The 14,499-nt window shown below is 40.8% G+C and overlaps 1 long non-coding RNA gene across 2 annotated transcripts in view; it reads left to right on the top strand.

Moving 5' to 3' along the window:
• The first annotated feature begins 2,983 nt into the window (after positions 1–2,983).
• Positions 2,984–14,499, top strand: part of LOC105373691 (uncharacterized) — a 79,687-nt gene continuing 68,171 nt past the window's right edge. For both annotated transcript variants that reach the window (XR_007087268.1, XR_923482.2), the window contains exon 1: positions 2,984–3,047. This is a non-coding gene — a long non-coding RNA (uncharacterized LOC105373691). The remainder of the gene's footprint in view (positions 3,048–14,499) is intronic.

A 14,499-nucleotide genomic window follows, 5' to 3' on the forward strand; every position in this document is an offset into this window, starting at 1 on the left:
AATAGATAAGGAGGAGAAAGATGTGGCAATGCATGGAAATTCCTAATATCTCTTCCCTTTGCTCTCTTGTAAAAGTCCCAGGAAAGGCAGTTGCATTCATTCCTGTGGAAGGAAGGAAGTTCTGAGAGTGTGGAGAAGGAGAGTGAGAACACTGGAGAAGGAAGATGAGTAATAATTAAAAAGGGGCATCAGAAAGCAGAATGTGAAGGATGTTAAGGACCAAGACTGTTAGTATCCTTCTTGCTGCTCTTAGAACACGTCCAGATGCTTCTTCGACCCCTGCTCCTGGCACAATTGTACAGTGATTAATGGGTGATGAGTTAATATCCCCAAATATCTTCTATTTTCTTCATTATTCACATGATTGCTGAAATCAAACAAGCAAACCAACAGGAAAACTTCTTCAAACCCCAGTTTTGTTGCTTAATGATACCATTTTCTTTATTCTAAATTTCAAAAAGATACAGAAGTTTTACATTTATTTCTAAATGAAAGTATATTTTCATTTTTTGGAATAATTCATAACAATAGCTTTGGAAGCGGTTTTTGTACTTTCATTGTTGTCATCTGTGTAATATTTGCCATAGCTGGAGTAGGGAAGACTTAGAAGGCATGCCTTTCTTCATGTTGATTGTTTTAGGCTGTAAACCTTCATTTTTGATTTCCATAATCACTGCTAGGTATTGTTCTCTTTCAGGCTTATGTCCCAATGGGACATGTATGAAAGCCATCAGAAATATATTTCACACACTCTGAAATTGTGTTTTCACAAAAACATAACTATAAAAATAAAATTTGGGAAGATGAGCACCATCCATGTTGATATGTAACATTAAGATCAGTTTATAGCTAGCTTAAAAAAATAACTATCAGAACTTGGAAGAGAAGAATATTTTAAGTTTTTAAATCAATATTTAATTTAACTGAAATAGGGTGTCCTTCTTGCCTAGCGAGTACTTAAAATGAAGCCTCCACCATGCTTCTGTGTTTGTGTAACCACTGAAAACAGCTTGGCAGGTTCTCCTCGGCCCTACCTATATGAGGCTATGGATGTCAGAACTTACCACAAAGCTAGTTACTGCAGGCTCACAAAGTTGTGATAACTCATTATGTGAAATTGCTCTCAGTTGCTCTCATTTCCTGCTCAAGGAATGTTCTTCCTTGTTCAAAACCTTGAGTTTCTCTCAAGGCAAAAAATTCCTGCCGTATCAAGCAGATTTTAAGCTGAGCTAAAGCTTGCAGGAAAACACAACCAACCACTGTGCATGATGCTGAGGGCAGCATCATCAGCAGAGTGAGAACATGGACTCTTAGCCTACTGTCTGCGTTCAAATACTGTCCCACAGTATTCGCCTCTCCAAGATGTTTTGTATGCCTCATTTTCCTTATCTGTAGATGGGAATATACTGCTACCAACCTCAAAGAATTTTTATGTGGAATAAGTGAGTTTTAACACATGTAAACTGCTAGGACAGTGCCTAGATCTGGTGTTATACATGTATTTTTCATATGAATTAGCAAAAGATGTTTAGGTGCTGTTCATCCATTCTCTCTCTTCTTAAAACTTGGAAGCTGTTTTTTATCTGACATCCCTGCCACAGCCTTTTGAAAGATTAATAGAGAGTCATTATTCAAAAAAACCTCCCAATCTCAAATGAACTATTTTATTATATTTTCTGTTTCAGCAGTGAGACCTTGGAAAGAATACTTTGACTATAATCAAACATTTATTCCAGGATCCTAATATCTCATAGTTTAGAGCACTATCGGCACACTATGGCCTGTGGGCCCAATGCAGCAGCCACCACCAATTGTTTTTTTTTTTTTTTGGAAGCAGAATCTCACTCTGTCGCCCAGGCTGGAGTACAGTGGTGCAATCTCGGCTCATTGCAACCTCTGCCTCTAGGGTTCAAGCGATTCTCCTGCCTCAGCCTCCTGAGTAGCTGGGATTACAGGCATGCACCACCACACCTGGCTAATTTTTGTATTTTTAGTAGAGATGGGGTTTCACTGCATTGGTCAGGCTGGTCTTGAACCCCTAACCTCAGGTGATCTGCTGACCTAGCCCTCCCAAAGTGCTAGGATTACAGGCATGAGCCACTGTGCCCAGCCCATCACCCATTTTTATAAATAAAGCTTCTATTGGAACATAGCCATGTTCATCTCCATATTATCGATTGCTGAGTTGAGTCATTGGGACAGAGACTATATGTTCTGCAAACCTAAAATATTAACTATCTGTCTAACAGAAAAAAGTTTGCTGATGTCTAGTTAGGAGTATCAGTACAGTATTAGAGTCTTTCCCAAACTAAATCTTTTAGTATATTTCTTGATTTTTGCCACATCTGCTTACTGCCCATTTCATATTTTCTTTAAATAGAGCCTTCATTTTTTTGGTTAAGAATATTTTATAAAAGAAGCTTTACGTTATCCTAAAAGAAAAATTAGTAAAACATGATAGGAATAGAAAATATTTAAGAAAGCAAATTGCTTAAAACAAATCAACTTGTTATTAAATTTTGGGGGAATACTACTCCCTGCAGTCTGAGATCTACTCTCTTAGGTAATGAAGGAGATTTTCAGTTGTTGGATAGATGATAAATACATTTGTGGCATCAAATTGAAACTTTAATCTTGCCGTAATCAGAGTACTAAATGAAAATTCAAAAAGGAAGGTATAATTTTCTTATTATATGTGATTTGTGCCATTTAATGACACCTACAAGTATACCCTACAATAGTTTTGAATATCACCCCTAATCTTGTATATCTGCAGTGATACACCTTCTGCGCTTTCAGAAACACTGGAAAAACAGTGGCAATGATAATGCCAGCTAATGCCAGTTCATATGTATTTAGACATTCTTTGCCAGGTGCTATTCTAGGAATTCTGCATGTGCGAACTTAGCTCCCACAACAACCTCTGAGATAGTTTCTACTCTGTTCCCTTTGTACAGATGTGACAGCTAAGACAGACAGAAGCTGGTAACTTGCTCAAGGTCCAGAGCTAATAGACAGCAGCGCTGGCAATGAGGCAGTGATTGAGGGTAAGCAATACAGGATTAGCCACCAATTGTGTGTAGAAAACTTGACATCATTTGTGACTTCTCACCTGTGTTCTCTGTATTGTAGATATTTTCATAGGAAATTGGGAGAAGTTTTATTAGAAACTACTAGCTTATTAAGGAACTACTTTATTATTTTATCTTTCTGAAATGGTAGTTTCTCTTTTCTTCTTTGAGAGTGTTGAGAATGGATATTAATGAATAAAAAATCGGCCAGGCATGGTGGCTCATGCCTGTAATCTCAGCACTCTAGGAGGCCAAGGAGGGTGGATTGCTTGATTCCAGGAGTTTGAGACCAGCCTGGCCAACATGGCAAAACCCCATATCTACTGAAAATACAAAAAATTAGCTGGTCATAGTGGCATAGGCCTGTAATCCCAGCTACTTGGGAGGCTGAGGTGGGAGAATCATTTGAGCCCAGGAGGTCGAGGCTGCAGTGAGCTGAGATCACACCACTACTCTCCAGCCTGGATAACCAGAGTGAAACCCTGTCTCAAACAAACAAACAAAACAAAACAAAACAACAAAAAAAAGGAAAGAATGATAACTAGATGCCTTTATTTTCTGCTAAAATGGTGGTTTTTAAAAAAACTGCAAAATGTTGAATTTTGTAAAGATACAATAAAATTCTTGAGATTATATATTACATTCATAAGCTTATGGTGGCAATGTAATTTGATAGGACTTCTTTTGTTAAATAATTTTAAAATGTGTTTTAAAGACCACAAAAACTAGGAAATAAGGAGTTTATTTCCTTAAACTCCAGATTCAACTTTGGGGACTCTATTGTGAGGATGTAATGCTAATGATGTTAAAAATGAAGATATTTTGGAAACAAACAGAAATCAATACAAGCTTTGAAATTGAATAGACTCCGGAATGTGACTCTGTTGCCTGATTCAAGTGAAACATCAACAGATTGAAGGCATAGCATCTGAACCAAAGGGTAGAGGAATTGGTGTTTTTACTTAGAGGGAGGTAATTATGTGGATCAGTGAGCATTCCCACCTCAGTTTAGGCTTTCGAGTTTTCAGTGGTAGCACGTTTGGTAAGAACTGTAGCGGTGTATGACAGAGCCAGGCTACATTTGTTTCCTAGCTCTGCCTCTGAATGGTTTTAGGAGCCTCAGTTTCTAATCATTAAGCAGAGATAAAAATGCCTTTCTTTTTAGGAGTATTAAAATAAGACAATGTAGGCCGGGCTCAGTGGCTCACGTCTGTAATCCCAGCACTTTGGGAGGCCGAGGCAGGTGGATCACTTGAGGTCAGGAGTTTGAGACCAGCCTGGCCAACATGGTGAAACCCTATCTCTACTAAAAATACAAAAATTAGCCGGGCGTGGTGGTGCGCACCTATAATCCCAGTTACTCTGGAGGCTGAGGCACAAGAATCGCTTGAACCTGGGAGGTGGAGGTTGCAGTGAGCTGAGATTGCAGTATTGCACTCCAGCCTGGGTGACAGAGCGAGAATTGGCCTCAAAAAAAAAAAAAAAAAAGAAGAAACAATGTGTATAAAGGGTCTCAAGAACATGGTTCTTTCCAGAAATGTTAGCTATTGTTCATCTCTCGTTTGGCTTTCTTTGACGTCTAATGGGGTAAGGAAGACCAAAGTATTTGGGGCTGAGTAACGCAGGTGGGAGTGTTTGTCTTGCCTTTGGTGTGACAGTTCTCTTTGTGATGTGGAAAAAGTATTTTTGACTTTTTGCCACCAAACATTAAATTTGATTTAAATTTCAAGTGCAGTGACAAATAATCTTCAGTTATAGGCAAACAACAAATAACTCAATTTGAGATTCTGTTTGGTCCTTAGGAACAAAACTAATTGAAACCAGGTTCTGACATTTACTTGCCCTGAGACTTTGAGTAAGTTAAACTTTCTATACTTCAGTTTCCTCATCCTTAAAATGGGGGTAATAAGGGTATATCACTCAGAGAGCTAGGAAAATTTAATTATTAATTTTATAGATTTATAACACTGTCTGAAACATATAAGCACTCTATATGTATTGATTGTTGCATAAAATACTTTCATGTATCTGAAAAATGTGAATGAGGCAATAATTTTTACACTTCTTGAAGCTGTTGGTAAATGTTTTATCATCATGCCACAAATTTTCCATATTTGAGTTCTTAAATGGTGAGAAGGGCTAGATTAGACTCTCCTGCCTTTAGTTCTTGGTCTTCAGGAAGTACATAATATGTTATCTTGTTGTCAAGGTAACAGGATTCAAGATGGTTTTATAAAATGAGAATGGGCTCATTTAAAAAAATGTCAGGAAATGCTTTAGAGAAGGAAGTGTCTTAATAACAGGCTTTATTGAAGCAAAAGTGTCTAAATCTCATTGAAGGCAGAGAATCGATTGCAGTTTCACTGCCTTATTGAAAGCAGCCTGTATTTTCAAACAAGAGCTTGGCATTTAATATCCCCACAATAATGAGGCAGAACTTTTGAGAGTGTGAACTGTGAGGAGCTGGTAAAGATTTTTTTTTTCCCTGGAAAAAGACACAAAATAGCAGTAGATTTCAGTGACTCATGATGGCGGGGGGAGTGATTCGTGAAGGGATTTGACAGAATGAGTCTTAGCAGTATGAGGAGTGTATCCATATAGTCATTTTCACCTAGCTTCATTATGTGAATTCTGGAACCAACTACTCGTGTTCTAAGCCAAAGATTAATGATAATAAAACAAATTTCAGGAAATCTAATTTGGAAACATATAACCTCATTTACATGTCACCCAATTTAAATTGGTCAGAAGAAGGATCTCTGCTATTTTGGCTTTGTACCAGGCATCCATTAGGTATAAGAAAAATTATATGTATTCTCTTTTTATGATCCCAAGAAAAGAGAAGTATATGAGAAAAGAGGTAAGATATATGAGGGTTTTACAGCTTTATTGTTTGTATTTTTAATCTTCATTTAGTACATACACTCTTTAGTTAATCTGATAACTGTACACTAAAACCAAAAAACATTGGCTTCTCCTAATTGTGAGTGGAACAGTTAGAGTATTGATTGTAAGAAATAGAAATTAAAATTAAGAAATTTTAATTAATTAATTTTTGTTTTTTTTGAGACAGAGGCTTGCTGTCTCGTCTAGGCTGGAATGCAGTGGTGCAATCTCGGCTCACTGTAACCTTCGCCTCCTGGGATCAAGCGATTCTCCTGCCTCAGTAGCTGGGACTACAGGTGTGTGCCACCATGCCCAGCTAATTTTTTTTTTTTTTTTTTTTTTTTTTTTAGTAGAGACAGGATTTCACCATGTTGGCCAGGCTGGCCTTGAACTCCTGACCTCAGGTGATCTGCCCACCTAGGCCTCCCAAAGTGTTGGTATTGCAGAAGTGAGCCACTGTGCCTGGCCTAATTTTTAATTAATTAAACACTAAAAAGAAGTCAGCCCTGCTGGAGACCAGCACTGGACTTTGTGCTGATGACAGGTGCCACCTCAAATGATTCTAGCCATTCTCTTTTTTGTATTATTTGCTCCAGAGGTGGGAGGCAACCAATCAGAGGCTGAAGTGAAGTTACAAAGTTACACCCTATGCAAATGAAGACTTGGCCTGTGACCAGTCTGATTGGTTGTGGGAGGGGACCAGTCAGATGTACTTGACATTTTTCCTCTGTGACACAGTGGAAAGGGGATTGTTGCAAAGGGTGTAGCCTCTGATCCTTTTGTGAGTTGGGTGTGGAGAAGTGCGGTTTTTCTTTTGATTCAGTTCTAGGAAGTCAGCATGAATCAGCCTTAGGTTCCTTGCCTCCAGACCCTATTCTCCTGCCTCATTTCCCCGTGAGAAATGTGATCCCCATAAATCTTTATGGGAGGCAGAGGGACTGATGTTTTTCTTCTGTAACTGCTTCATGCTGACTTGAAGTGCAGTCCCTACCTACTGGGGATCATGGAATTCTTTCCCTGTTCTGTCTAGTGGAGACAGGGTAGCTTCTTGATGGCTGTGATGGTGCCTTCACCAGGAACTGGCTGGAAACCTTGTCACATGATCATCTGAAGCTTGATGGTCTCTAGGCGAGAGAAAATAAATTTGATTAAAAGATTTAACAAACATGGTCCAAAGACCGAGGCATGTATAATTATTAATAATTGGCTGGCCAGAGGAAGGAGCTATGAACCCAACTTAGCACTTTTGATCAGGAGCCCATGACTCAGACAGCTGTTGTATCTTAGAGTCCCAATCGGCTAGTTTTTGGGCAGCATCTCTACTAATCCTAATTGGTTGACCTAAAAACAGCATTTTTACTCTAGAAAAAGACATAGGCACCCCTTTTCAGCAGCCAGAAGATCTGGTTCACTTCTATTTTGCAAAGTGACTGCTGCTAAGGAGTCTATTTTATTTTGTATGGTGACAGTACTTTGGGCCGTGTCATTCAAGCTTTCCATAAAATCCTTGGACAAATGTTGGCAATAGGATAAGGAAGTTGCAAGTCTGCTAACTCTAGTTCCTAATCCCACTGTTATTCCTAGCTCTACCAAACGGAGTATGAGTTGGATGGCACATTTGTGTCTGGTAGTTGAGGTTAAAGGCATAATGAGGGATTGGTTGTTGGGAGCTATATTAATTTTGGAGGCTAAATAAACAAGTGTACAGGTTCCAGGTTAATTGGCTGGTAAGCATAAGTAGAAACTGATCCTGCACAGGAAAAAGACTCCTTGTTTTTCAGACAAAAATTGTTTCTTATGGTGAACATATGGGATAGCTTGTTTTCACTTTCCCAAGTGGTTAAGGTCCCTGCTAAGGTAGCCCTGGTTAAAGACTGGAAAGGACTTTGGGAAGTATCCTGAGTTGCCCCAGCAGTCGTGTTTTCCCAGTAGAAGTTGTTACACTTAGAGTCCACTAACAACCACCCAGAGGTATTTTCATACTGGGGAACCAAAAGGCAACTGATGTCTCAGAATTAGTGCAGTCTTCCCAAGGCAAAATGTAGCTAGTGGGCTTACTTTGACAGTACTTATACTGTATATCCTTTAAAGTGCCCTTATCTAGGAATGGTTTCCATGAAAACCATACAGGTTTTCTAAATGATGCAGTTTGGGTAACTGCGTAGCTTACATGATTATGTGAGGGGTTAATCTCTAGGGTGCAGTTACATTGATGACTTTTCAAGTTTCCCAGGGCCTGACCAGAAATGTGGCTTCTCTTAATACAAAGTGGTGCCTGGAATTTTAGCTCGGTGTGCATTGATATTGGGCCTCAAATGGGTTTCTGTAGGGATGCATTCCCAGAAACGTTGCTCTGATAGGACTGGAGGAGGTGCTGGTCCTGTCTTTGTAGCCCTTGTCATTTCCATAATTTTGAAGTCATGTAAGTCATCCAGGCCTATTAACTTGAAGGGAGTTCCTCCCTTGTAGTTAGGGTGATAGGTTATTTTTTCAAGGGCCCCAGATTGGGCTGGGATTGGGATGGCAGTGTATTTGGATGATTATGGAGATAAAGAAAGCCAGGAGTCCTTTTTCAGAGCTGAGCCGGTGGTATTGAATAGTCTTTGTGTTGAATTTAAAGTTCTTAATAAATACCCAGAATCCATTAATAGCCGGAGGGGTAAAGTGAAGCTCTATTGTAAAATAAGGCTGATTCCCGGTATGCATCTTCTCAGTATACACAGGCTGTGGGTGACACGATAGAACAAAAAAATACTTATATGTTATTTTGTTCTATAGAATGGGAACTTCAGGGGGCGGATACCTATGCTGTCAGGAATTCTTGTTATAAAAATGAATTAAAACTCTCTGCTTAATTATTACAAAGGAAGTGATTCCATCCACCTGGAAGAAGGCAATTAAATTGCAAAAATATAAAAATGGCTACTATTATCCAGCCTACAGTAACTATGCAACAGAGACACCAAGGAAGTTGGTAGGCATTTACTTATTTTTTTGGCTGTCTTTTAAAGAGGCACTTGAGGTCTTTCACAGGTTCACAGGTGTAGTGGCTGATGGGAGCTTCAGATTCCAGGTCCAAGGCTTCAGGTATCTCAGGCTTGACTCTGGAAAGATGTATCCAATGATCTAATCTTAGTACTTTGACCACAGAAGGTATGGCCAGTACCACTGAAAATGGTACCTTCCATTACAACCCTTGCATGGGTTGTAATTGTTGAGCAGGTGAACCCTCCTTCCATGTTTTAATAAGTACCTTATCCCCTGGCCTCATTTGGGATTGCTGGTTAGCTCCCAGTATGGGGAGCCTTAGAGTTACAAACTTTTGTAAAGCCTGCTGAAATTGTCCCAGGTTAACTAGGTATTTTACAAAATTGGCAGTATCTGGATCAATAATTATATCATTTGTTAAAAATGGCCTCCCATATAACATTTAATATGGGCTCATATTAGTTTTTGCTCTAGGGGAATTATGGATCCTTAAAGAGGGCTATGAGCAGCAAGTTGACCCAAGTTTCTGATGTTTCCTTACATAGCTTAGCTAACGCCCATTTTAGAGTTTGATTAGGCCTTTCTACTCTCCCAGAAGTTGGAGGACTCCATGCTGAATGTAAATAATATTTGATCCCTAAAGCCTTAGAAACCGCTTGAGTTATTTAGGAGATAAAGGACAGGCCATTATCACTTTGGAGGCTCTGAGGTAATCCAAACCAGGGCATTATTTCTTTTAAGAGGACCTTCACAACTTCATTGGCCTTTTCTGGTAGGGTAAGCTGCGACTCAACCAGTAAAGGCATCTATTAGTACTAACAAAAACTTCTATCTTCTACAGGCTGGCATATGGGTAAAGTCCAATTGCCAGTCTTCCCCTGGGCAAGTTCCTCTCCTCTGGACTGGTTCTATTAGAGGAGACATTTTGTTTCCTGGGTTGTTAATTGCACACAGCGAGCAGGCTTGACAGACTTGCTTAACCACCAAAGAAGAGCCTGTTAACCAAGGCCAGGGAGGCATCTCTCCCCATATGGAAAGAGTCATGGAGGGTTTTTATAATTCTTCATTGGGCTGTTTGAGGGAGAGATACTTTTAGTCCCATATGCCACCAAGATCCTTTTTTTTGCCCCCTCTTGCTCCTTTATTAACTGTTTTTCCTGTGGTATATATTCAGGTTCTATTGGGGAATCATAGAAAGGAATCATTGGTAGAACCTGTTGAACTTACACCCTGAGGGCTGCAGCTTTGGCCTATCAGCCTTTCTGTTACCTTGTGTTATGGGGGTTAAGTCCCTTTGATTCCCCCTACAATGGATAATAGCTACAGCCTTTGGCAGCTGTATTTCTTCTAATAGCTGAAGAATTTCAGGTCCATGCTTTATCAGGGAATGTTTTTGGCAGGTACATTGCTTCCAGTAGCTGAAGCAGTTCAGGACCATGCTTTATTTAAGTAGTGCCCTTTCTTTCCAGATTGTAGCATGATCGTGAAGCAGGAGAAATGCATATTTAGACTCTGTATAGATGTTAAGCTTTTTTCATTGTCCCAACATTAATGCTCAGCTAAAAGCAATGATTTCAGCTTGTTGTGCTGATGTGGCAGCGGGCAGTGGTTGGGCTTCAATAATGATGTTGTGACCTACTACTGCGTATCTAGCTCAGTGCTCCCCATTTGACACAAAACTACTTCCATCTGTGAACCAGTCACCTCTGGAATCTGGGAGAGGCTGATCTTTTACATCAGGCTGGCTGACACGTTTGTGTGCGATAACCTGCTTGCAGGAATGATCAGTTATTGGGCCTGTGGGTAGCAATGAAGCTGGATTCAAGGTGTTACTGGTTTTAAGGGTTATATCTGGATTGTCTAGCAGCATGGCCTGGTATTTGGTTAACCTTTCCCCCATCATGCAGATGTGTCCTTTTATTTCTAAGACTGACTTCACCTGATGTGGGGTTTGAACTTCCAATAGTTGAGCCAGGGTGATTTTAGTGGCTTCCTTTACTAAAATAGCAGTGGCTGCAAATGTTTGCAGGCAACTCAGCCATCCTGAGGCTACTCCGCCCAACTTCTTTGAAACGTAGGCAGTTGGTCTGGGTTCTGATCCTATTTTCTCGGTTAGCACTCTCACAGCTATGCCCTTCCTCTCTGCTACATACAAGGAGAAGGGCTTGGTGAGGTCTGCGATGCCAAGAGCAGGAGCCTGGGTGAGAGCCTATTTTAGCTTGACGAAGGCTTCTTTCATTTCCAGGTTCTATTTCATTAGCTCATTTTCAGGCCCTCTTGTTGCTTCATATGGGGTCTTTAATATGAGCCCCAAATTTGATACCAATATTCTGCAAAATCCAGCCATTTCCAGAAAAGAATGAAGCTTTTGCTTGATGTGGTGGAGTCACAAACTGCATATGACTTGCACTAATTCTGGGGATATTTGCTGGCTCTGGGTGTTAAGACATACCCTAATTTTCGGACCTACTGAGCCTTCTTTTTGGACACTGTGTATCCACTGTCTTTGAGGAAATTCAAAGTTTTTATAGTATTTTGGTCAGAAACCTTCTGGGTCAGGCTACATATAAGAAGGCCATCCACATACTGAAGTGTACTCTCATTCTCCAATTGCAGATCCCTCAGACCCCTCTCTAAGGCTTAGGCAAAGAAATGGGGGCTATCTCAAAACCCCTGAGGGAGCACTGTCCAAGTATATTGTTTTTTTTCTGGTATTAGGATTTTCCCATTCAAAGGCAAAAAGTTATTGAGACCCTGGGGCTAGAGGAATGGAGAAGAAAGCATCTTTCAGGTCTAGGACTGAGAACCATTTTGCACCCCCTGGCACCTGAGCCAGGAGGGTATGTGGACCCACCACCAATGAATGGACAGGGATAACAACCTCATTAATTATTCTGACATCCTGTACTAGCTGGTATTCCTCCAAAGGCTTCAGAACAGCTAAGATGGGAATATTGCAGGGAGAACTGTACGGTTTTAAAAGTCTATGGGTAAGTAATTCCTCAACTATGGGTAATTGGCCTTTTCTTGCTTTAAGCTCAATTTGGTATTGTTTTTGATTAGAACAATAGCTGGGGTCTTTAAGCTGTATTTTGACTGGCACTGCTGTTTTAGCCTTCCCCAGTTTCTCAGTATACCATGTTGGTGTGTTAACCTGTTTATTAATGTAGTCTGGGACATTGTCTGCATTATTGACTATTAGCAATTTCAATTGGTGTTGGTGCTTAAATTGCAGCAGTGCCTTTATTTTAACCATAATAGGGAGTAAGAACACAGTAATTTGTCCCTATATCAAAAAGAAACTGAATTTGGGTGCCCATGACGTCAAGAGTTACCTGTGGCTCCTCAGTAGTAATGATGATGTTCCTGGACAGGGGCGGTGAGGAAGGTCCCAGGCCCCTTCAGTCTTCATCTAATTCCTCCTTTTGCACTGCTAGAGTTTTGACTGACTGAGCCCCTCTGTGGGAGTGGGGGCAGTCAATTCTCCAGTGCCAAGCATCATGACTGGTGCCTTCACGTGGACAGCAGGGGCCTGGCAGGGGCTTAGTATAGTCCCTTGCCCAATGCCCATTTTTCTTGCACTTGAAGCAAGAGTCTTTGCTGGCATTTTCCTTATGGCCCTTTGGGTTTCCCCTGGAATCTCTTTGGGCATTCAGGGCATCACCAGTGATGGCTGTCATAATTTTGGCTTGCTGTTTTTCTTTACTCTGTTCCCCTTTCCTTCCTCCAGGTCAGAATTGTTATATACCATAAAGGCAGTATCAAGAAACTGATTTTGATTAGTTTCCATCTCTAGCTTTTGGTGCTTATGTGTAATGTCTGGGTGGATTGGCTAATGAAATGCTGTGCCATTATTATTTTACCTTCAGAAGAGGAAGGGTCTAGACTGATATATTTTTTAAAGGCCTCCTCCATCCTGCCATAAAACATGGCTGGATTTTCCTCCTTTCCTTGTGCAACTTCTCTTACTTTATTATAATTTACTGCCTTAGTTATTCCCTTTTTCATTCCTCTAAGGAGAGCCTCAAGAAATGTAGCCCAGTTGTTCATCCTTACAGGGGTGTTATAGTCCCAATTAGGATCAGTAGTGGGGACTATGTCTGGGCCCAAGTGATTGCCCTGAGGGTTTTGGGCAAATAAATTGTCCACTTTGCAGTGGGCAATCTCAAAGATTCATTATTTTTCCAAGGGGGTCCAATAGGTTGCTAGCATGAATTGGACGTCTCTCCGTGAGAGATCAAAGGCTAAGATCAAAGTTTAGAACCCATCTGCAAATTTTCTAGCTTCCTAGCTTTTATTTACATTGTTGTGTGTTAGTTATAGAGAATGGGGCCTGAACTCAGACTGGATCCCTGGCTCCTGCTACTTCCTTAAAGGGTAGCAGGGCTGGAGGGGGAGTTGAATAGGGTGTTCCCCTCTGAGTGTGAGGGGTACTTAGCAAGGTTCCCACTGTTTGCTGTTGGGCTTGAGCCTCAGGAGCACTTAGCAAGGGGTTATATGGGGGTGGTTGCTATTCCCCCCTGACAGACAGGTGGCCCTTGTAAAAGGGGGTCATTTACAATATCTAGTTCTGCCTTAGGACTTTCCTTTTGGGGGGCAGGTTATGGCATTTTTGCAGATTTTTGGGTTTTGGTATAGGTCATAAAGGCCTGTACATATGGGATTTCTGATCATTTACGCTTCCTTTTGCAAAACAGGTCTAATTGCAGGATGGTGTCATAATTAAGGCTACCACTGACTGCCCATTGTTCTTGGCTTTCCAGCTGGCAATGTGGCCAGACAGTGTTACAATAAAAAATCAGGTGTTTTCTCCTTAGATTGTTAGGGTCAAATTGATTCCAGTGGTTGAGGATCCAGCCAAGCAGGGAATCAGGTGGAATAGATGGGAAGTTGCCTATAGTGGTACAGAAAAGAGGACTTTGAAAAGTGGAGGGTTTATTAGGTGACCCAACTTTTATCTGGGGTATCCCCCTGGAAAAACCCTGGGCCCTGACTGGGGTCCCCCTTTAGGGCCCCATCTTAGTCTGTCAGACATCTCTGACCTTAGATGGGTACCAGCATTGCTTTGGAATGATTTCCTCCACCACTGATGACCCAATTTGAACTCTCCTTCTTGTTACTGGATGAAGGCCTCAACTTTTAGCATCCTTATAATTTGACAAAGCCAAGCTTTCCCTTCTGACTTTAGCCAATATGTTCATACACAGAATCTCTTTTACAATTAATTTTCATAAACTGCAACTTGTTCAAACCTTTGGATTTTTCCTATCTCACTAAAAACAATCCTTTAACCCTCTAATCTTAGGCACGAGGTGAAGAGATCAAGACCATTCTGGCTAATGTGGTGAAACCCCGTCTCTACTAAAAAATACAAAAAATTAGCCAGGTGTGGGTGGTGGGTGCCTGTAGTCCCAGCTACTTGGGAGGCTGAGGAAGGAGAATGGCGTGAACCCGGGAGGCGGAGCTTGCAGTGAGCTGAGATCACGCCACTGCACTCCAGCCTGGGTGACAGAGTGAGACTCCATCTCAAAAAAAAAAAAAAAAAAAAGAAATC

This window comes from Homo sapiens, chromosome 2 (genome assembly GCF_000001405.40).
Source record: "Homo sapiens chromosome 2, GRCh38.p14 Primary Assembly".
Taxonomy (NCBI): Eukaryota; Metazoa; Chordata; class Mammalia; order Primates; family Hominidae; genus Homo; species Homo sapiens.